At 44.3% G+C, this 20,920-nt stretch overlaps 1 protein-coding gene, 1 long non-coding RNA gene and 1 pseudogene across 4 annotated transcripts in view, besides 1 other annotated feature; 2 read left to right on the top strand and 1 right to left on the bottom strand.

Annotated features, from left to right (window-relative positions):
* Positions 1-20,920, bottom strand: part of HRH1 (histamine receptor H1) — a 126,320-nt gene that overhangs the window by 21,372 nt on the left and 84,028 nt on the right. The window contains exon 1 of one of the 3 annotated variants that reach the window (NM_001098211.2): positions 16,127-16,205. The exons of the other annotated variants lie outside the window; for them this stretch is intronic. The gene's annotated coding sequence lies outside the window, so the exon portion shown is untranslated. Of the gene's footprint in view, positions 1-16,126; positions 16,206-20,920 lie in introns of those variants that run through there. 3 annotated transcript variants of the gene reach the window in all.
* On the top strand, positions 7,409-8,130 carry CHCHD4P4 (coiled-coil-helix-coiled-coil-helix domain containing 4 pseudogene 4; annotated as a pseudogene).
* Positions 16,089-16,383: an enhancer, noted in NCBI's record as "tiled region #13806; HepG2 Activating non-DNase unmatched - State 20:ReprD, and K562 Activating non-DNase unmatched - State 3:PromF". NCBI's record gives its function as "activates a minimal TATA promoter and a strong SV40 promoter by Sharpr-MPRA in HepG2 and K562 cells {active_cell/tissue: HepG2 | K562}" and the evidence as "EXISTENCE:reporter gene assay evidence [ECO:0000049][PMID:27701403]".
* LOC102723663 (uncharacterized) overlaps positions 16,268-20,920 on the top strand; it is a 32,484-nt gene continuing 27,831 nt past the window's right edge. Inside the window, exon 1 of the long non-coding RNA XR_001740596.2 lies at positions 16,268-16,486. This is a non-coding gene — a long non-coding RNA (uncharacterized LOC102723663). The remainder of the gene's footprint in view (positions 16,487-20,920) is intronic.

The following is a 20,920-nucleotide window of genomic DNA, read 5'->3' as shown; positions in this document are numbered from 1 at the left end:
TTAAAGATGGCAAGGACCCAAAGAGTGAGCAGCAACATTTACTGTGAAGAGCAAAAGAAGAAACCTTCTACAGCCTAGAAGGTGACCCAAGCGGATTGCCTCTGCTGGCTGGGGTGACTAGCTTTTATTCCCGTATTTGTCCCCTCCCATGTTCCGTTTTTGTCCTATCAGAGTGCCCTTTTTTCAGTCGTCCCCACTATTGGCTACTTTTAGACTCCTGCTGACTGGTGCATTTTAGAGAGCGCCCACTGGTACATTTTGCAGAGTGCTGATTGGTGCGTTTTACAGAGCGCTGATTGGTGTGTTTTATGTTTTAGAGAGCACTGATTGGTGCATTTTTTTTTTTTTTTGAAACGGAGTCTCGCTCTGTCCCCCAGGCTGGAATGCAGTGGCGCCATCTCGGCTCACTGCAAGCTCCACCTCCCAGGTTTGCGCCATTCTCCTGGCTCAGCCTCCGGAGTAGCTGGGACCACAGGCGCCCGCTACCACACCCAGCTAATTTTTTTTTGTATTTTCAGTAGAGACAAGGTTTCACTGTGTTAGCCAGGATGGTTTCGATCTCCTGACCTCGTGATCCACCCGCCTCGGCCTGCCAAAGTGCTGGGATTACAGGCGTGAGCCACCGTGCCCAGCCTGAGTGGTGCATTTTATAATCCCATTGCTAGCTACAGAGTGCTGATTGGTGCGTTTTACACTCCTAGCTACCGAGTGCTGATTGGTGCGTTTTACAATCCTCTTGTAAGACAGAAAAGTTCTCCAAGTTCCCACTCCACCCAGGGAGTCCAGCTGGCTTCAACTCTCAGTGGCTACAGAATAGAATATCATGGGGTCCTTGATAATCATTACAGAGCACCAGCAATTAGGTGGTAAAATGCTTATGATGAAATTTATAGAAGACGTACGTGGTTTGTTTGTACAGGACAATGTCAATTCTGTTAACTAACAGGCTTCTATCCAGGGTGAATCTTTGTTATGTTACATCAACCATGGTTTTCTCTGGGTACTGGATGATACTTATTATATTTGGTATTTCTCAGGATTTCAACAATGAGATTGTCTTTATTTTATAATAGGGAAAATAAGAGCTAACTGCATTCATTTTGAAAAAAACAAAATATAGATTCCTTCAATAAAAAAATAAAAATAAAGAAATGTTTTCCACATGCTTAGCACATCTTTTATTTTCTCTAGTACAAAGTGAGAGTTTGGGATTCCTTTCTTGATTCATTCTAAACTGCCTCACCTGCTACTCCCCAGTCCAAACTTCTCTATCCTCTTCATCATTTGTAGGCTGGTTATTCTAGTCAAGTAAGTCAGAACATTAATTTCTTTGATCTAATTCTGAGAAAGAGGTGTCATGCATGAGGGTGCTCCAGTACTGCATAATCTCATTAAGTCTGGCCAGGTCATAATTTCCATGAAACACCCAGGCTTATCAGTGCCACTGGTTGTGATGAACAGAGCAGACTGCAAATAGCAAAATGCCATTATGGGCCTAGTATTACAGGAACCTAACTGACTTAGAATCTGGAGGAGTTCTGGCTTAAGAGTCAGCCTCTGGGTAAGATGCAAGAGGCAGATGACCTTGCGGGCAGGTAGTGGCCCCAGTGGGTTTTCCAGGGGTGGAGGTACATGTGCAAAGAGGCTACAGAGTCAGAGAAGAAAAGCTACTAAGAACAGAGGACTGTGTGTGGAGCAAGAGGGAGTGGTAGGGATCGGGGCAACCTGGAGAGCCTGTCCTCTGCTTGAAGAGGGCAGCTGCCACTCACATTCTACCAACTGCTGCAGACTCAGATCTGCCTGTTTTTAAAAGGAAACACAAAATCTGGAGTTTTTACATGAAATATTTTAGTTTTTAAATGCTGTCAATTATTCAATTGTTTCATTTGTCTTCTTGAACACTACACAGGGTAAACAAAATAAATTTTGTAAGCCCCCAGGTAGAAACCTCAAGCTGGTTCATAGGGGATGCAGAATGCTGAATATGAGATAATGACCCAGGAGTGGACACCTTTTGGGGTATTTTCCCAGCTCAAGTCAAGCCTCCTCTCTGAGAACCATCATTTCACCTAGGGTGGGCTCTGGCAGCCACAGTTATACTATGTAACCCTGACCCCTGGGCACACGTGATTGAACCAGAAGTTATCTCTGACCCAGAACAAACCAGTCAGCCCAGTTCTCTCTTCTGGAACACTGGAATTGGAGTTGTGCCATCAAGACAGTCTGTTGGTCTCACATATCTGATATATCATATATCTGATGTATCAAGAAGACAAATGAAACAATTGAATAATTGACATCATTTAAAAACTAAAAGATTTCATGCAAAATCTCCAGATTTTATAAGTGGGGTTAAGTGGGGGTGGGGGGCTGCCACTGGGGGCAAGAGGAGGAGTGTTGCTCACCTCTGGGAATGCTAAAATAGAGGAGGGGATAGAAGAAGGCAGCAGACAAAATGCAATAATTCATATGCTGGAACAACCGAGATCTACCAGCAGAAGGATGAATTTAGACCTTTCCCTTATATCATACACAAAAATTACTCATAATTGATGATAGTCCTAAATGTATGAGCTAAATTTTTGTGACCTTGAGTTAGGCAAAGATTTCTGAGACACAGCACCAAAGGCATAAGGAATTTTTAAAAACTGCTAAATTGGACTTCATCAAGATGAGAAACTTTTGGGTTTCAAGAGGTACCACTAAGAAAATGAAAAGCTATGGAATGGAAGAAAATATTTATAGGTCATATATCTGATATATCATATATCTGATGTATCCAAAATACACAAAGAACACTTCCAACTCAATCATAAGAAGATAAATAACCCAATTTATAAATAGGCAAAGGATTTATATAGACATTTCACCAAATAAGATAGAGGAATGGCTCAAAAGCACATGAAAGGATGTTCAACATCATTAGTCATTAGGGAAATGAAAATCAAAACCACAGTGAGATACCACTTCACATGGACTAGGATGACTATAATTTAAAAAGAAGGACAATAACAAGTGTTGGTGAAGATGTGGAGAAAGAAGAACTCTGAAACACTGCTGGTGGAAATGTCAAATGGTGCAGCTACTGTGAAAAGCAATCTGATAGTTCTTCAAATGGTTAAACATAGTTACCATATGACTCAGTGATTCCACACCTAGATATATACCCAAGAGAACTAATCGTGTGACCACAGAAAAACTTGTATGCAGATACTCATAGCATTATTCATAACCACCAAAAAGTGGAAAAAAACCAAATGTTCATCAACTGGTGAATGGATTTTGATTAAAATGTGGTCCATTTGTCAATAAAAAGAAACACAGTACTGTTCCAAGCTACACCATGGGTGAACTGGAAAAACATCATGCTAGGTGAATGAAGCCAGACACAAAAGGCAACACATTGAATGATTCCATTTATATGAAACGTCCAGAATTGGCAAATTTATAGAGACAGAGAATAGATTAGTGGTTGCCTGGTAGTGGAGGGGGGGACAGGAAGGGATCTTTTGGAAAAAACAGAAATGTTCTAAACTTGGATTCTGATGATGTTTATACAACTCTGTACATTTACTAACGATAACTGAATTGTATGATTCACTTAGAATGGGTGAATTTTATGATAGGTAAATTACACCTCAATCAAGTTGTTTTTAAAATTTTTCAGTGGATGAAGAAAGAGGCTGCTCTGGGTTCCAGATCTGTCTGTTTTTAAAATCTATTTCACTACACCAGTGCTGGGAAACAGGATCAGCTATAAGATTCTTCAGTTTCATTTAAATGAAAACAAACTAGTTGCTTAGCGGAAGAACTGCTTTAGCCAGAACCAAGATTTAGATAAAATAGATATCATGATTTCTTGTGAAAGGGGCAGTGAGATGTTATGCGTAACTTCTAAATTAGTCATCAGAAGTGGAAGGAGAGGAATGACTGAGCTACATCAAACCCTTTCCTCCCGCACATCTGTGATCTTTCTCATTTTATAATTTGGTTTAAGAGATTGAACTTGTTTGATTGTTTGTCTGCTCCCCACAACCCCCAGCCCTGGTGTGACAGGCTGGGATTTTTAAAGCTAAGTGCAGGAAAGGGAAACTGAAGGATATTATCACTAAATGGCAAAACAAACAAACAAACAAACAAACAAACAAAGGCAGCATTAAAAGCCCAGCTCAGTTATCTCTTACTTTCTGACCTCAAAAAGCAAGGGAGAGGCTGGGCGCAGTGGCTCACGCCTACAATCCCAGCACTTTGGGAGGCTGAGGTGGGCAGATCACAAGGTCAGGAGTTCGAGACCACCCTGGCCAATATGGTGAAACTCCGTCTCTACTAAAAATACAAAAAAATTAGCAGGGCGTGGTGGCGCATGCTTGTAATCCCAGCTACTCGGGAGGCTGAGGCAGGAGAATTGCTTGAACCTGGGAGGTAGAGGTTGCAGTGAGCTGAGATCACGCCACTGCACTCCAGCCTGGTTGACAGAGCAAGACTCCATCTCAAAAAAAAAAAAAAAAAAAAAAAAAAAAAGGAAAAGAAAAAGAAAAGAAATATTTTCAGGATTGCATCAGGCTGGGAGAGTTTCCATATTGCATCGTTTAATCCTCAATCGTTTAATCCTTAATCGTTTACCGTGCTGGTAACCTCACCAAAATAATTCTGCCCCCAGCCTCCCATTTTAATGATGTGGAAAGAGAGGCTTCTGGAGTTTTTAGGGCTTGGTGCCTGCACTAAGAGATCCCAGAGTGACTGAAGAGCAAGTTTCACTTAAAGGCCCAGGTGGCACCCATCTGCTAAGACCTTCCAGTGAACTTCACATACTCCCCCCACTCCATCCTCTTTTCCATTGTGAAGAGAGGGAAATAAATAAACACTTTAAATAAAGATTCCAGGGAATTGAAAACATGGACATCCGTGCTAACGTGAGAAAAGGATACAGTGAATACATCATCCTCTTTTTCACTGTGAAAAGAGGAAAATAAACAAACGCTTTAAATAAAGATTCCAAGGAATTCGAAAATATGGATATCCGTGCTAACATGAGACAAGGACACAGTGATTACACCACCACACCCAGCACACACACAAGTATCATTTCAGGATAGGATGAATAATGTGTTCATTTTGTTCCGAATCCTTGGAGATTAAACTCTGAGAAATACACTTTCAAAGACCAAAGTCATTCAGGCTGTTCTCTTCTTGAGGAAAAAAAAAGTGATTGATGATATTGAACTAAATAAAAGAGCTGGCAGGAGAAAAAGAGAGGCAGATGCGGCATTTATAAGAGAGAGCTCCCAGGTGATTACCAGTTCCTGTAACTTTTGTCTCTTTCAGTCAAGTGACCTGATGGACACCTGCCTGCAGCTGCCACCTCATCCCACACCTGGGGCTCTTTAGCACCACCTGCTGGTCAAGCCCTCTTGCTGGTTCTGGGGCCAGGGTATTTATATACAGGGGTTATTTATATATTTATATATAGAAGTTATTTATATATAGGGGCATAGATGAGTGTGACTCGATCTGGTTCCTAGTTCTATTCTGATAATCACAGATGATTCATTTATTCATTCATCTATCTATCCATTCATTCTCCCTTCCTTCCATCAAACCATCCACAAAATCTTCACTGATGAATATTCTTGCCAGGTACAGATATTATGATAGCCACCGGATGAACACAGTTCCTATTCTCATGGAGGTGCCAGCCTATACCAGTAATTCTCAACTCTGCCTGCCTGAGAGCTTTGTTTTGTTTTGTTTTGTTTTGAGACGGAGTCTCGCTCTGTCTCCCAGACTGGAGTGCAATGGCACGATCTCAGCTCACCGCAACCTCCGCCTCCTTGGTTCAAGTGATTCTCCTGCCTCAGCCTCCCAGGTTGCTGGGATTACAGGCACCTGCCACCACATCTGGCTAATTTTTACGTATTTAGTAGACAGTGTTTCACCATGTTGGCCAGGCTGGTCTCAAACGATCCACTTGCCTCAGTCTCCCAAAGTGCTGAGATTACAGGCGTGAGCCACTGTGTCAAAAGCTTTTAAAACATATTGAGATGTCTTCTTTCAGGAAGATTGAGTAGAGGTACTTTCTCTATTCTGCTTAGTACAACTAAAACTCTGGATGTTATATTTAAAGCAAACACAAGAAGACTCTGACAGGTGGAGAGGCAAAGGCAAAGCAGTGAGGAACATTGGGGCCCAATGAGCGACACAGTGATGAATTCCCTGGGCTTTTTTTTGGCCACATACATCAGAGATTTTGACCTGAAGTAGCTGGCAGCTCAGAAATGGCAATCGGCACAGGCAAAACAAAAGCCTGCTGTGTCCAGCCAAAGGACTGGGAAAGAGGCTGCCTAGCAAAGTAGAAAACTTTTAGACAACACCTGCTCTATTTCAGCCAAACACCATAGAAAAACACTGTGCCCCGCTCCTGTCCTAGCCAGATGAGGTGAAGTGGGGAGGGCAGCCAAGACTTCCACCCTTGTCAAGCTGTAATGAAGTGACTCAACTCCCCTTGCTGGGGTGGCGTCCCCGCCATTCCTAGCAGGGAGCCGGGACTTGCATCCTGTCAGGTGGTGACAAGCCCTGCACCCACCCCCATGGTGTCAGTAGGGGTGCATGGGGAGCAGTGAGGAGGCACTCTCATCCCTCCCAGCTGGGGACTTATCTGCAGAGGCCTAGTGGGGAGATGGAGCTCCCACATCTGCTCAGCAACAGTGAGGAAGCCACGCCCTTCAAGTGTCAAGAGAAGCGAAGTGGGGAGCCAGGACGTCTACCTCCACCTGGAAGTAATGAGGCAGCATACTCTCCCCGTGTGTCCTCCGGCTTCCTCTGCTACAGCAGTGTCAGTCAAAAGCAGATAAATCAGGAGATTTAAATATGATCCTAGGTCTTATAATACCTAAAATTTCCATATTTCAATTGAAAATCATTTTTCACATCAAAAAATGAGAAGGGATTTCTAATAGCATTTTTTTTTTTTTGAGATGGAGTCTCACTCTGTCACCCAGGCTGGAGTGCAGTGGTGTGATCTCGGCTCACTGCAATCTCTGCCTCCTGGGTTCAAGCTATTCTCCTGCCTCAGCCTCCCATGTAGCTGGGACTACAGACACATGCCACCACGCCCAGCTAATTTTTTGCATTTTTAGTAGAGATGGGGTTTCACTGTGTTAGCCAGGATGGTCTCGATCTCCTGACCTCGTGATCCGCCCACCTCAGCCTCCCAAAGTGCTGGGATTACAGGCGTGAGCCACCGTACCCGGCCAAAACATTTAAAGTAATCATCATAAAAATGCTTCAACATGCAAATGTGAACACAATTGAGACACATGAAAAAAATAAGTCTCAGCAAAGAAACAGAAAATATAAAGAAGCAGCAATGGAAATTTAGAATGGAAATAATAATTGAAATAAGAACCCAGAGGTGCCCGCCCTGCCTGAGGAGAGGGAGGTCATGGCGTGAAGCTACAGCTGCTGCCACCGCCACTTCTGCAAGGTCTCAGGGCAGGGCTGCAGCCATGTCCTACTGCCGGCAGGAAGGGAAGGATCGAATCATATTTATAACCAAAGAAGACCATGAAACTCCAAGCAATGCAGAATTGGTGGCTGATGACCCCAACGATCCATACGAGGAGCATGGATTGATACTACCAATGAAGACATTAACTGGAACCGTCCATGCCTTGGGGGAATGGCCAGCGGCCCCTGTGGGGAACAGTTCAAGTCAGCCTTTTCCTGCTTCCACTATAGCACGGAGGAGATCAAGGGGTCAGACTGTGTAGACCGGTTCCGGGCCATGCAGGAATGCCTGCAGAAATACCCAGACCTCTATCCCCAAGAGGATGAGGATGAGGAAGAGGAAAGAGAGAAGAAGCCAGCAGAACAAGCAGAAGAAACAGCTCCCACTGAGGCCACTGCAACCAAAGAAGAGGTGGGGTCAAGTTAATGAAGGCCACAAGGCACTGGGCTCCAGTCCTTTTGGAGTGGACCTTTTGCAAAAGACCTTGTTGTCACCTTCCAAGAAAGTGTCTTTCCCTCTGTTGTCCTGTGCACTGTAATATACAAAATAACTTATTTTGATGATCAGGGGTCTTGACCTCTTGACACATACACTGAAAAAAAATGGGAGTTGTATGTATGTGTGTCCTACCCAAACCTGTGGCCGCCACTTTTGAATTCTCTTCTCAGATTGCCCTGAATTTTGCCACTTTTAAATCATGTGCTGAATAAGCTCAGCAACTAAAAACCATTACCCAGGAAGGTTTCTTGTGAGTGAGCTGATTTATTCTGATTCATTATATTCCTTTTAGTAGATATTATGCCCCTTGGGGAAATAATACAAGTAATAGAAACAAAAACATCTTCTCCTAAAAATGCTGGGGTGGGGCCTCTACTAGCAGAGGCCAGATGGTCAGATACGATTTCTGCAAACCCATCCTGACCTCGAGTATGTGAAGGGGTACTGTACTTCATTCCCGATACATTTTGGTTTCCATGTTGGCATTGAGCTCCTGGTTTTCTGTGTTTGGACGATGAAGATTTGGACCCTCCCATTCACAGTTCCTTTCTAAGTGAAGGGAGAGGCTGGCTTGGCTGTTCCTTGTTATTCTGAAAGCCCTGGTTTGGGGCCCATGTTCACACAGGCTCTCAGTCTGGTCAGGTGCAATGTTCTTGAGAGGTGGGGACCTAATTATTACCAGAGTAGCAGCAAGAGAGGAAACGTGAACTAAGTATTCAATTAAAAGGAAACATGATTTCTACCTGAAAAACAACAACAACAACAAAAAAGAACCCAATTGATGGACTCAAAAGCAAGAGGGTAGGAACAGAGGAAAGAATCAGTGAACTGGAAGATAAAACAATAGAAATTCCCAAATCTGAACATCAGAGAGAAAAGAGATAATAAACAAACAAACAAACAGAACTCCAGGGTCCTGTGGGACTATAACAAAAGATCTAACATTCATATAATCATAGTCCCAGAAGGAGATGAGAAAGAGGGTGGCAATGATAATGTGCTTTGAGAAATAATGGCTGAAAATGTCCCAAATTTGGCAAGAGACCTAAATCTATAGAATCAAGAAGCTGTTAACCAAACAGGATAAGCCCCCCAAATATACATCAAAGCACATAATAATTAAACTCTTGAAAATGAAAGACAAAAAAACTTGAAAGTATCAGAGAAAAACACCTTACCATAATGAGAATGATAGCAGATTTCCCACAGAAAACATAGAGACAAGAAGAAAATGGCATTATATTTTTCAGATGCTGAAAGAAAAGAGCTGTCAGCCCAGACTCTTATACTCAGTGAAAATATCTATAAGGAATAAAGGGAAATCAACACATTCTCAGACGAACTTGTACAGGACTGTGTGCTGAAAACTAAAACATGCTGATGAAATAAATCAAAGATGTAAATAAATGGAGAGTGTTTATGGATCGGAAGTCTCAACAGAGTAAATATGTCAATTCTTCCCAAATTAACGTACAGATTTAATACAATTCTTATCAAAATATCAGCAAGATGTCTTACGGATATAGACAAGACTCTTCTAAAATGTATAGGGAAAGGTGGAGAAACTAGAATAACTCAAATAATTTTGAGAAAAAGAGAATAAAATGGGAGAAATCGACCTACCCAATTTCAAAACTACTATATATTAATAGCTACAGTAATCAAGACTTTGTGGTATTGGCAAAGGAATAGACACATAAATCAATAGAATAGAACAGAGAGGCAAGAAATAGAAATAGAACCACACAAATATTCTCAGGTGATTTTTGACAAAGGTGCAAAATTAATTTAATGGAGGAGAGAAAGCATTTTCAACAAATGGTGCTGGCACAATTGGACGTCATAGGCAAAAAATGAACAACCTAAACCATATGTCTTTTAAAAAAATTAACTCAGGCTGGGCACCGTGGCTCATGCCTGTAATCCCAGCACTTTGGGAGGCCGAGGCAAGTGGATCATGAGGTCAAGAGATTGAGACCATCCTGGCCAACATGGTGAAACCCTGTCTCTACTAAAAATACAAAAATTAGCTGGGCACGGTGGCACGCACCTGTATTCCCAGCTACTTGGAAGGCTGAGGCAGAATCGCTTGAACCCGGGAGGCGGTGTTGCAGTGAGCCAAGATTGCACCATTGCACTCCAGCCTGGTGACAGAGCGAGACTCAGTCTAAAAAAAAAAAAAAAAATTAACTCAAAATGCTCCACAGACCATTAAGTGTAAAATGTAAACTACAAAACTTGTAGAAAAACACATTAGAGGAAATCTTCAGGATCCACAGCTAAGCAAAACGTTATTAGACTTGTGACTAAAACATGATCCATAAAAAGAAAAAACAATGAATTGGACCCCATCAAAAGGAAAATTTTCGTTCTGTGAAAGACCCTGTTAAGAGGATAAAAAGACAAGGAGAAAATATTTGCCAGCCACATATCTAAGAAAGGACTACTATTCAGAATATATAAAGAACTCTCAAAACTCAACAGTAAAAAGCAGACAATCCAATGAGAAAATGGGCAAATGATATGAGGAAACATTTCATCAAACAGATGATACAGATGGCACATCCGCATGTGAAAAGATGTTCAATATTACTAGCCATCAGAGAAGTGCAAGTCAAAACCACAACGAGATATCACTGCACAGCCATCAGAATGGCTAAAATAAAAGACAGTGGCAACACCAAATGCTGATGAAGACTGCAGAGAAACTGTGTCACTCATACATTTCTGATGGGAATGTAAAATGATACAACCATTCTGGAAGAGTATGGCAGTTTCTTAAAATACTAAACATGTAACTACCATAAACTTGAGTAATTGCACTCGTGGACATTTATCTCAAAGAAACTAAAACTTATTTGCCCAGAAAAAAAAACTGAACATGAATGCTTATAGCAGTTTTATTCATAATAGCTCAATGCTGGAAACAACCAGCTACCCTTTGATGGGTGAATGAGCAACCAACCAACTGTGGAATACTACACAGTAGTAAAAAGAAATGCACCAGTCCTATTCCCATCAACTTGGATGAGTCTCCAGAGAATTATGTGAAGTGAAAGAAGTCAGTCCCAAAAGGTTACTAACTGTGTGACATTTATGTAACATTCCTGAAATGACACCATTACAGAAATGGAGAACAGATTAGTGGTTGCCGGGTTTAGGGATGGGGGAGGTGAGAAGGAAAGGGGATGTGGCTATAGAAAGGCAACATTGGTGACGGAACTCTTCTGTACTCGACTGTCTTTATGTCCATATGTTGGTTGTGATATTTTACTACAGTTTTGTAATATGCTACCACTGGAGGAAATTGAGTAAAGTGTATGCAGGATTCCTCTATATTATTTCCTACAACTGAGTGTTCCTAAAAGGCTTAATGTAAAAAAAAACTCATATTGATACCTTGGCCGCACTCCCAGATTCCCAGCCACTATGGTTTAAAGGTCCCCAGGTGATCCAGTGTGCAGCCAGGATTAAACAAATCAGTGGTCTAGGCCAGTGCTTCCTAAACCTTCATATGCAAATAAGTTTTCTGAGAGTCTCATTAAAATGGCTCAGGAGGTCTGAGGTAGGGCCAGAGATTCTGCATCTCTAACAAGCTCCCAGGTGATGCTCATGCTGTTGGCCCACGAACCTCACTGTGTAGCAAGGGCTTTTACACTGTGGTTACATCCAGGTTGGGTTCATAAGAATTATCAGAGGAACTGTGAAATATATCGTACACTGGGATCCAGCTTAGTCGATTCAGTAGGATCCAGTAGGTCTGGACTGGTGCCGATGACTCTGTTTTTTAATAGCTCCCCTGGTGAATGTGGTGCCCAGCCAGGTTTGGGATCCAGCAGCAAGCTGCCTCTTGCTCCTTGATTCTTCTGTGTATGAGCTCATCTTGGCACCCAAGGCCAGTAATGGAATTTAAAGTTCTTGTCTTCACGCCCAGTACTTTCACTACCTTAGACCTGGAGTCAGGCCCTGGGACTTGGTCTCTCTCATCTTCCCCTGAACCTACCCAGTGGACTTCAGTCAGTGTCACCTCCCTAGAACATGCTCTGGTGTCTCCTGTCCGTCACTGGCCTTCTAGAGGCCAGCCACCTACTCCTTTTGTTCATCCTTTGGAGGCTGACTTGGTCTAAGCTCAAGTTTGCTCTCACCTGGGATACTGCAACAGCCCCCTATCTGGCCAGCCTGCTTCCAATCTCACCCCCTCTAGTCCCCACCCATGTCAACTGCAAGCAATCTTTCTAAATCCACATTTTTCTCCTTCAGTTACTAACTTATTCCCATTATAATTCTTGCTGATCTATGTCTTTCCTATACCACCATTTACTTTATATATGTATTTAAATGGATCCACTTTTTTGCCTAAGTTTATTTCACTACCACGTATGAAAAACAAGTTATCATTTTTTTTGTTATCTACAGAACTTTCCATAGGCATAAACAAGATGACAATAAAACAATGTGATTTAATTCTAGCCAGATATTGTGAGGAAGGCTTTGCTTTGTTAAAGAGAAACCTTAGCAAGAGTAAGATGGGTTAAAAACCCATCTTATATGGGAGGTTGAAAACCTCCCAGCACCAAATTGAGACTCTCTTGGAGGTAATCAGGACTGAAATATACAAGTTAAGACTTGAAAATCTGTGAGAGTCAATTTTAATTAATGGTACATCTCTGTACCATTTACAGTCACTTCAGGTAACACCCAAGATGTGGTAAACACCACTGTCTTAAATCTCGTCATATATTGTTTTGCTCCTAAATGCCTTGAAGGAAAAGTTCAAACTCCTTAGGCTGTTGGTATGACATTTCCTCCATATTTTGACCCACAGCACTCCAGCAAAAATGAACTTGCTGTCCCCAAACACCCCAGGTTCTTTCAGTTTTTGGGGGCTCTACACACAGTATTCTCTTCTCCAGGAAGAGGATGTGTCTTGCAGATTAGCATTTCATTTATGTTTACTATTGTCTCCTTATGGGCCTATTTCAGAGCCCATCTGAAACAAAGTAGGTGAGAAGAATGAAAAGGACAAAGGAAAGGTGGAAAGGTTGATAAAGAAGATGGGAAGAAAAAGGAAGGGAGGGAGGCAGAGGGAAGGAAAATGTCAATGAACTTCTATTTATTCTACGACGTCCATCTTAACTGTTCCTTCTTTTTTGAAGCTTTCCTGTATCCCTTAGCCATATCTAAGCATTTCTTCTTCTGGGTTCCCACAGTATTGTTTCCATATCTCTATTAAGGCATTTACCACTATATTCTTTTTTTTTTTTTTTTTGACATACTCTCATTCTGTCACCCAGGATGGAGTGCAATGACAAGATCTCGTCTCACTGCAAACTTCACCTCCTGGGTTCAAGCGATTCTCCTGTCGCAGCCTCCCGAGTAGCTGGGACAACAGGCACGCACCACCACGCCTGGCTAATTTTTGTATTTTTTTAATAGAGATGGGGTTTTGCCATGTTGGCCGGGCTGGTCTCAAACTCCTCAGGTGATCCACCCATCTCGGCCTCCCAAAGTATTGGAATTACAGGCATGAGCCACTGTGCTCGGCCCACTATATTCTACAGAATGAATTCAGGTGTCCTTCACGTAGACTTTGATCCCTACAAGGGCAGGAGCACTGTGATATTCACTTATATTTCCAGCACCTAGCCCAGTGGCTTTCAAACTTGGCTGCACATTGGAATCATGAACAGAGCTTTAAAAAAAATACTGATGCTGAGGACTCACCACTCCTGGATTTGATTCTGGTGTAATTGGTCTGGGGTATCTCTGGGTTTCAGGATTAAAAAAAAAAATTTTGTTAGAGACAGGTTCTCGTTCTGTTGCCCAGGCTGGAGTGCAGCGGCATGAGCACAGCTCACTGTGACCTTCAACTCCTGCCCTCAAGCAATTCTGCCTTGGCCTCCTAAAGCACTAGGATTACAGGCACGAGCCACTGTGCCTGGCCTGGATTTTTAAAACTCTCCAGATGGTTCCAATGCAACCAATATTGTGAATCACTTTCCTAACTAAAGCTGAATTATGGTAGGAGGAGTTCAGTAAGTGATGAATGAATAAGTAGATGAATCCTGCCTTTAACGCACCACAGTTCTGACCCAACATGACCACATTCAGAGTTTCATGTTATGCTAATTCATTAATATATTCAGGAACTATTAATTAAACAATAATGTGGTACCAGGTATTATGCTAGGCCAAGCCACTAGAGATGGAAATGTGAATAAGACTCCCAATTCTCCCCTCGTTTTTGATATGCCTTAGGGATGGCTGGGGCCTGTCCTAGTTCATCCAAGAACTTTCTGTCCTGCTGATTAATTGGCCAGCTCCAACAGCAATCATTTCCCTAGTAACTGATAGCAAATCTTACTTCTGGCTGCTTCCTCAGGCAAGTGCTATCTAAGGACAGACTCTATTCACTCTCAGAGAGAGGAAGTTCCTAGGGGGTGTGGGCAAGTCAAGAAACCACAAAGAAAGTGGTCTTGTCTAGATCTCTTCAAGCACTCCAGAAGTGAAAGGAAGATGCTCAGGTGCAGACCAGAGTCCTGTGCAGCTCAGACAGGCCTCCTTCTGGGTGTGTATTTACATAATGAAAAGGTAAGGCCGGGCGTGGTGGCTCACGTCTGTAATCCCAGCACTTTGGGAGGCTGAGGTGGGCAGATCACCTAGGTCAGGAGTTTGAGACCAGCCTGGACAACATGGGGAAACCTCGTCTCCACTAAAAATACAAAAATTAGCCAGGCGTGGTGGCGGGCGCCTGTAATCTCAGTTACTTGGGAGGCTGAGGCAGGAGAATTGCTTGAACCAGGGAGGCGGAGGCTGCAGTGAGCTGATATCACGTCACGGCACTCCAGCCTGGGGGACAGAGCGAGACTCCGCCTGAGGAAAAAAAAAAAAAAAGATCTTAATCACCCCATAGGCAAATGGCATTTCCTTCCCAACCACTACGGTTCCATGCTCAGACCTACTTCAAAACTCTGCACTACAGGTGACTGAAGAGCAGAGATGATGTCCATGTGGGGTCACCCCTGTTCTGTTCTGCTGCAGACTTTGACAACATCGTCTCTCAACTGCTGTCACAGCTTCCTAACTGGTCTTTCTGCTCCTGGTTTTGGCCTCTTTCACACAGAAGCCAAATGATCTTTCTAAAACCACAAATCCAGTTCCCCTACTCAAAACTCTTTAATGGCTGGCCACTGTTGTCAGGATATACAGAAGCACCCTGGCCCCACATGTGTGATACAAGGGTAACAACCCAAATAAAGTCTACACATGGTATCTTCTTTTTTTTTTTTTTTTTTAGACTGAGTCTTGCTCTGTCACCCAGGTTGTAGTGCAATGGTGCCATCTCGGCTCACTACGACCTCTGCCTCCCAGGTTCAAGTGATTCTCGTGCCTCAGCCTCCTGAGTAGCTGGGATTACAGGCACCCACCATGACACCTGGCTATTTTTTTGTATTTTTAGTAGAGACGGGGTTTCACCATGTTGGCCAGGCTGGTCTCCAACTCCTGACCTCAAGTGATCCACCCGCGTCAGCCTCCCAAAGTGCTGGGATTACAGGCATAAGTCACCACGCCTGGCCCCATGATCACATTAAAAAGAAATTCAAGTCCAACATCCAGAAAATAAAACGATATGGAAAAGTAACTTCAACCTTTACTGAAGACTCTCAAAGAGGCAAAACCATCACAAAGAACTTCTCCCATCTGTCGCTACATAGCGCCAGCTACAGCATCACCTGCTCATCCTCAAATCTTCCTGCTCTCTCTCTCAAAAACTTCAGGTTGCCTTGGTTCCCCTTTAATTCCCTTTTCCCTTCTTTCACCCACTCTTCAATCTTTCTGATTTATGGAAGAGTATCATGTAATTTCTAATATAAATGAACTTAGCTTTCCCAGTGCCCTCTTTTCTTTACTCATTACTCTAATCAGCCTGGCAAATGCCCACGAGATAAGCAAACAGGTCTACTCCGGAAACGGAGGGAGGGTGCCGGGCAGTGGCTAGTATATGTCAATACCTTCGACCCATCACACAGAGCTTTTTCCACCTGGTCTCACCTTACTGTGCAGCCTCATCTCTGATTCTCCACTCTCCCCAAATAGGCCCTGCTCGTGTACACCCCATACCTTTACAAATGCTGCTCTCCTGCCGGGAATGCCTGTTCTCATCCTCTTACCCTGGCAAGACATTCAGTTAGTTCTTTACAACCCAGTTCTGATGTCACTTCCTTTTAGTCATTCATCCGTCCCTCTGGGCTGGGTTAATTCACTTCCTTCTCCAGGGCTTCGCTGAACTCTGCACAGACCTCAATTACAACCCTTATAAAGCTGGGTTGTGGTCGGGTGCGGTGGCTCATGCCTGTAATCCCAGCACTTGGGAGACTGAGGCATGTGAGTCGCCTGAACCCGGGAGGCAGAGGTTGAAGTGAGCCGAGATCGTGCCACTGCACTCCAGCCTGGGCGACAGAGCGAGACTCCGTCTCAAAAGTAAGTAAGTAAATAAATAAATAATAAAGCTAGGTTGTAATTCCTTAATTACTGATCAGACTTTTTTCACTAGACTGTGGGTGTCACATGTGGGTCTGAGTCATCTCTGTGTCCTCAGAGCCAAGAAGTGGGGAGGTGCTTAATGAAGTTACTGAATGCTCCAGAAATATGTTCCCGTCACTGAGTGCTCCAAAGAGGCATTCACCTGTCTCCTCTTCCCTGATCATCCCTCGGGGCTACCTGGAGTGCCTGCCAGATCAGAGTTTGAGAGATCTGCCCTGGCAGTCGCCTGACTAGGCCTACATATCTTCCCGTGTCTGGCCAGCCTTCCAGAGAGCAGTCTGTCCCTCTCTCCGACTCCAGCCGGCCAGGCCTGGTTCTCACATTGTCAAAAATAAAAGGAGTTAAAAGAAGCCAAGCGATTAGGCAAGAAAAGGAAATGAAGGCATCCAGACTTGAAGGAAAGAAGTGAAACTATTTGAAGATAACATGGTCTTGTTTGTAGAAAATCCTGGGGAATCTACAAGAAAATTTTTAGAACTCACAAATGAGTTCCAGGGGCCCAAGTCCTCAGTTTGGCTTTGAAGGGGTCCCTTGGTCTCCTGGCCCTGCTCCCCCTTTCCTGTGGCACTTCCCAGCACTCCTCCTGTGAGTGGCTCTTAGCAGCCGCAGTGGAGCATCCACTTTGACGTTGCCTACTTTCCCCTCTCTTCTCCCTGCCTGGGTAGAGCCTTTGAAGAGCTTCTGTCTCATCTTCACCTCATCCCTAAAGTCCTTAAATAAGGGGCATATTTATCGAGGATAAGAATTGGACCTGTGTTATCTCATTCAATCCCCACAGCAACCTTTGGAAGTGGGAACTGTAATTATCACCCCCATTTTTCAGATGAGGCTCTGGGAACCTATGCCCCTGGTCCAACCTCACAGTTATGAGGCCCACTGGGCTTGAAAGCAAGGGCTGCCTGACTCCAACATCCAATTTCTTTTTTTTTTTTTTTTTGAGATGGAGTCTCGCTCAGTCGCCCAGGCTGGAGTGCAGTGGCGCATACTCGGCTCGCTGCAAGCTCCGCCTCCTGGGTTCACGCCATTCTCCTGCCTCAGCCTCCCGAGTAGCTGGGACTACAGGTGCCCACCACCATGCTCGGCTAATTTTTTTTGTATTTTTTAGTAGAGACCGGGTTTCACCGTGTTAGCCAGGATGGTCTCGATATCCTGAACTCATGATCCGCCTGCCGCGGCCTCCCAAAGTGCTGGGATTACAGGCGTGAGCCACCGCGCCCGGCCCTCCAACATCCAATTTCTTAACCCGAAATTTGGAAAGAGAAGTGAGGCCCTATTCTAATGCTTCCTCCCCTAGCTAGATGTATCTCTTCTTTCCCTGACCCAGACTCCAAGGCTGATAAGCTATCAGTGTGTAGAGCTGACTCTGTACTGTGATCATTTATGCAGAGCTTTTCTCTCCCCTGTTTGGCTGGAAGATCCATGGGAGCAGAGGCCACGTCTTATTCAGCCTCACATGCTAGAACTGCTTGGCACATGGTAGGCATGCACATTGCACGGCTTCAGAAAGAGTGAAATGAGATGGTTGAGGCACAATACACTAAAGAGAACAAATGTGTGTTCTCTTTTGCATGCACAGGAGAGATGGCCTCAATCATATTTGGGGTGTCAGGATGATGTGGCTGGAACATGTCATGGGGAAAGGCCATCCTCCTCCTTGCTGACAGTGCCCTCTGTGTCCCCTCAAGGCTGCGGAAGAGTCATCCTGGAGAGAAGGGCCCAGTCTTCAGGGCAAGGATTTGTGTGCTCATCTTTGTTTACTGTGTGTTTGGCACAGTAGAAAATATTTGTTGAATGAATTTGCTGTGTGACGCTGAACCCTTCTCTCAACTTCTCCAGGCCTCCTCTGTTAAACAAGGGGGTTGCTCAAGATTAGGGATTTTTCAAACATTTCCCTTTCCCCCTTTTCTTGGTAGCGCAACTACTGGTTTATGTAACAATTTATATAAGACAGAAGCAGCTTGCTGCTGTAGCTGGAGTGGAGTGGGGGAACCCAGAGCCCTGTCTACTTGACTCCCCCTCTTTGCCCCACACTCCCCAGAGGCCCCTCAGAGCAGCTAGAGAACAGTCAAGCTGGAGGAACTCTAAAGGGTGTTGAAATTCGGAGAGCTCTGTAAGGAGCGTCCACATTTTTTTTTTTTGAGATGGAGTCTCGCTCTGTCGCCCAGGCTGGAGCGCAGTGGCGCCATCTCTGCTCACTGCAAGCTCCGCCTCCTGGGTTCACACCATGCTCCTGCCTCAGCCTCTCGAGTGGCTGGGACTACAGGCGCCCGCCACCACCCCCGGCTGATTTTTTTTTTTTGTATTTTTAGTAGAGATGGGGTTTCACCATGTTAGCCAGGATGGTCTCGATCTCCTAACCTTGTGGTCCACCTGCCTCAGTCTCCCAAAGTGCTGGGATTACAGGCATGAGCCACTGTGCCTGGACTTTTTTTTTTTTTTTTTTTTTTTTTTTTGAGACGAAGTCTCGCTTTGTCGCCAGGCTGGAGTGTGATGGTGCGATCTCGACTCACTGCAACCTCTGCCTCCTGGATTCAAGCGATTCTCCTGCCGCAGCTTCCTGAGTAGCTGGGACTACAGGCACGCGCCACCATGCCCAGCTAATTTTTGTATTTTTAGTAGAGGTGGGGTTTCACCATGTTGGCCAGGATAGTCTTGATCTCTTGACCTCATGATCCGCCTGCCTTGGCCTCCCAAAGTGCTAGGATTACAGGCGTGAGCCACCGCGCCCGGCTGGAGCGTCTGCATTTTAAAAGAGTGGCTCTGAAAAGAGAAAATCCTTTACCACACATTTGGACAACTATTATTTAATGCGCTTGAATGGTGGAATGTAAGGGCCTTGATTAGGAGTGGGAGGGTGTAGTGTTGTCTTAGGATGGAGAGTTTATGTTTCCCAGGACCTCTAAACGCCCCCTGGGTCTAGGGGGCCACTAGTTCTGCCTTACTATTTGTGCAAGTGGGCCCTGACGCACAGCTCGCCAGCAGACACTCGGCCGCTGTACTTTCCCGTCAGCCTGCCATCTTCTTCTTCTCAGTGGCTATCTGCTTCACTCCTGCTTTTCTCCATTGATTTTTCCCTCCTCTTGTTTTCCAGAACTCACAAAAACCTCCACTGGTTCTAAGCATTTTACATAGTGCTGTGAACTTGCTGGAGGAAGTGGAATAAATGGATGCGTGATAGGCAAATCGCCCTAGATTTTGGTATTTGAGTTAAAATTCCACACAACACCTGGGATATATAATCACACAGAAACCACTTAGCTTCTTGTGAAAACAATCACAGAGTCTAGGAAATGGAAAAATAATCATAGTTTTCATAAATTGTTCCCATGAGGACCTGCTCAATGCTGGGAAGTTCCAGCTGTGCACACTTCCAGCTGTGGCTGCACCCACCCTCACTCCCACCCCGTCCTGTGCCTCCTGCCACCTTGCTATTTACCCAGTTCCTGACTGTGGGTGTTCAAGAGAGCTATTAAGTGACTACTGGTATCTAGCCGAGATGCTCCCCTGTACAATCTGAACAACTACACCATCACTGGAATAAAGGATTACTGGACACTTTTAAAGAGAAACTGATATACTCATGTTCATAGCAGCATTATTCACAATAACCAGAAGGTGGAAGCAACCCACATGTCCATCAGCAGATGAATGGGGAAACAGAATGTGGTCCTCACATACCATGGAATATTTTTAAGCCTTAAAAAAGGAAGGGCATCTGGCACGTGGTATCACCTGGATGAACCTTGAGGACATTCTGCTAAGTAAAATATGCCAATCAGAGAAAGAGAAATACTGCATGATTCCACTTATATAAAGTCCCTAGAGCCATCAAATTCATAGAGATAAAAAGTGGAATGGTGGCTGCCGGGGGCTGCGGGAAGGAGGAAAGGGGAGTTAGTGTTTAATGGGTACAGAATTTCAGTTTTGCAAAGTGAAGAGTTCTGGAGGTGGATGGTGGTGATGGGTGGTGATGGGCACATGATTGCATGGTTGTGAATGTAGTTAGTGTCACTGAACCGTGCATATAAAATGGTTAAACTCGTAAGTATTATGGATATATATATATACATTTTTTTTTTTTTGAGATGGAGTCTCGCTCCGTTGCCCAGGCTGGAGTGCAATGGCGTGATCTCGGCTCACTGCAACCTCTGCCTCCTGGGTTCAAGCGATTCTCCTGCCTCAGCCTCCCAAGTAGCTGGGATTACAGGTGCATGCTGCCATGGCCGGCTAATTTTTTTTGTATTTTAGTAGAGACAGGGTTTCACCGTGTTGCCCAGGCTGGTCTTAAACTCCTGAGCCCAGGCAATCCACCCACCTCGGCCTCCCAAAGTGCTAGGATTATAGGCATGAGCCACTGCACCTGGCCCCGTG

Source organism: Homo sapiens, chromosome 3, assembly GCF_000001405.40.
Source record: "Homo sapiens chromosome 3, GRCh38.p14 Primary Assembly".
NCBI lineage: Eukaryota > Metazoa > Chordata > Mammalia > Primates > Hominidae > Homo > Homo sapiens.
Note: the sequence above shows the minus strand (reverse complement) of the source record. Positions and strands in the feature narration are given on the sequence as shown.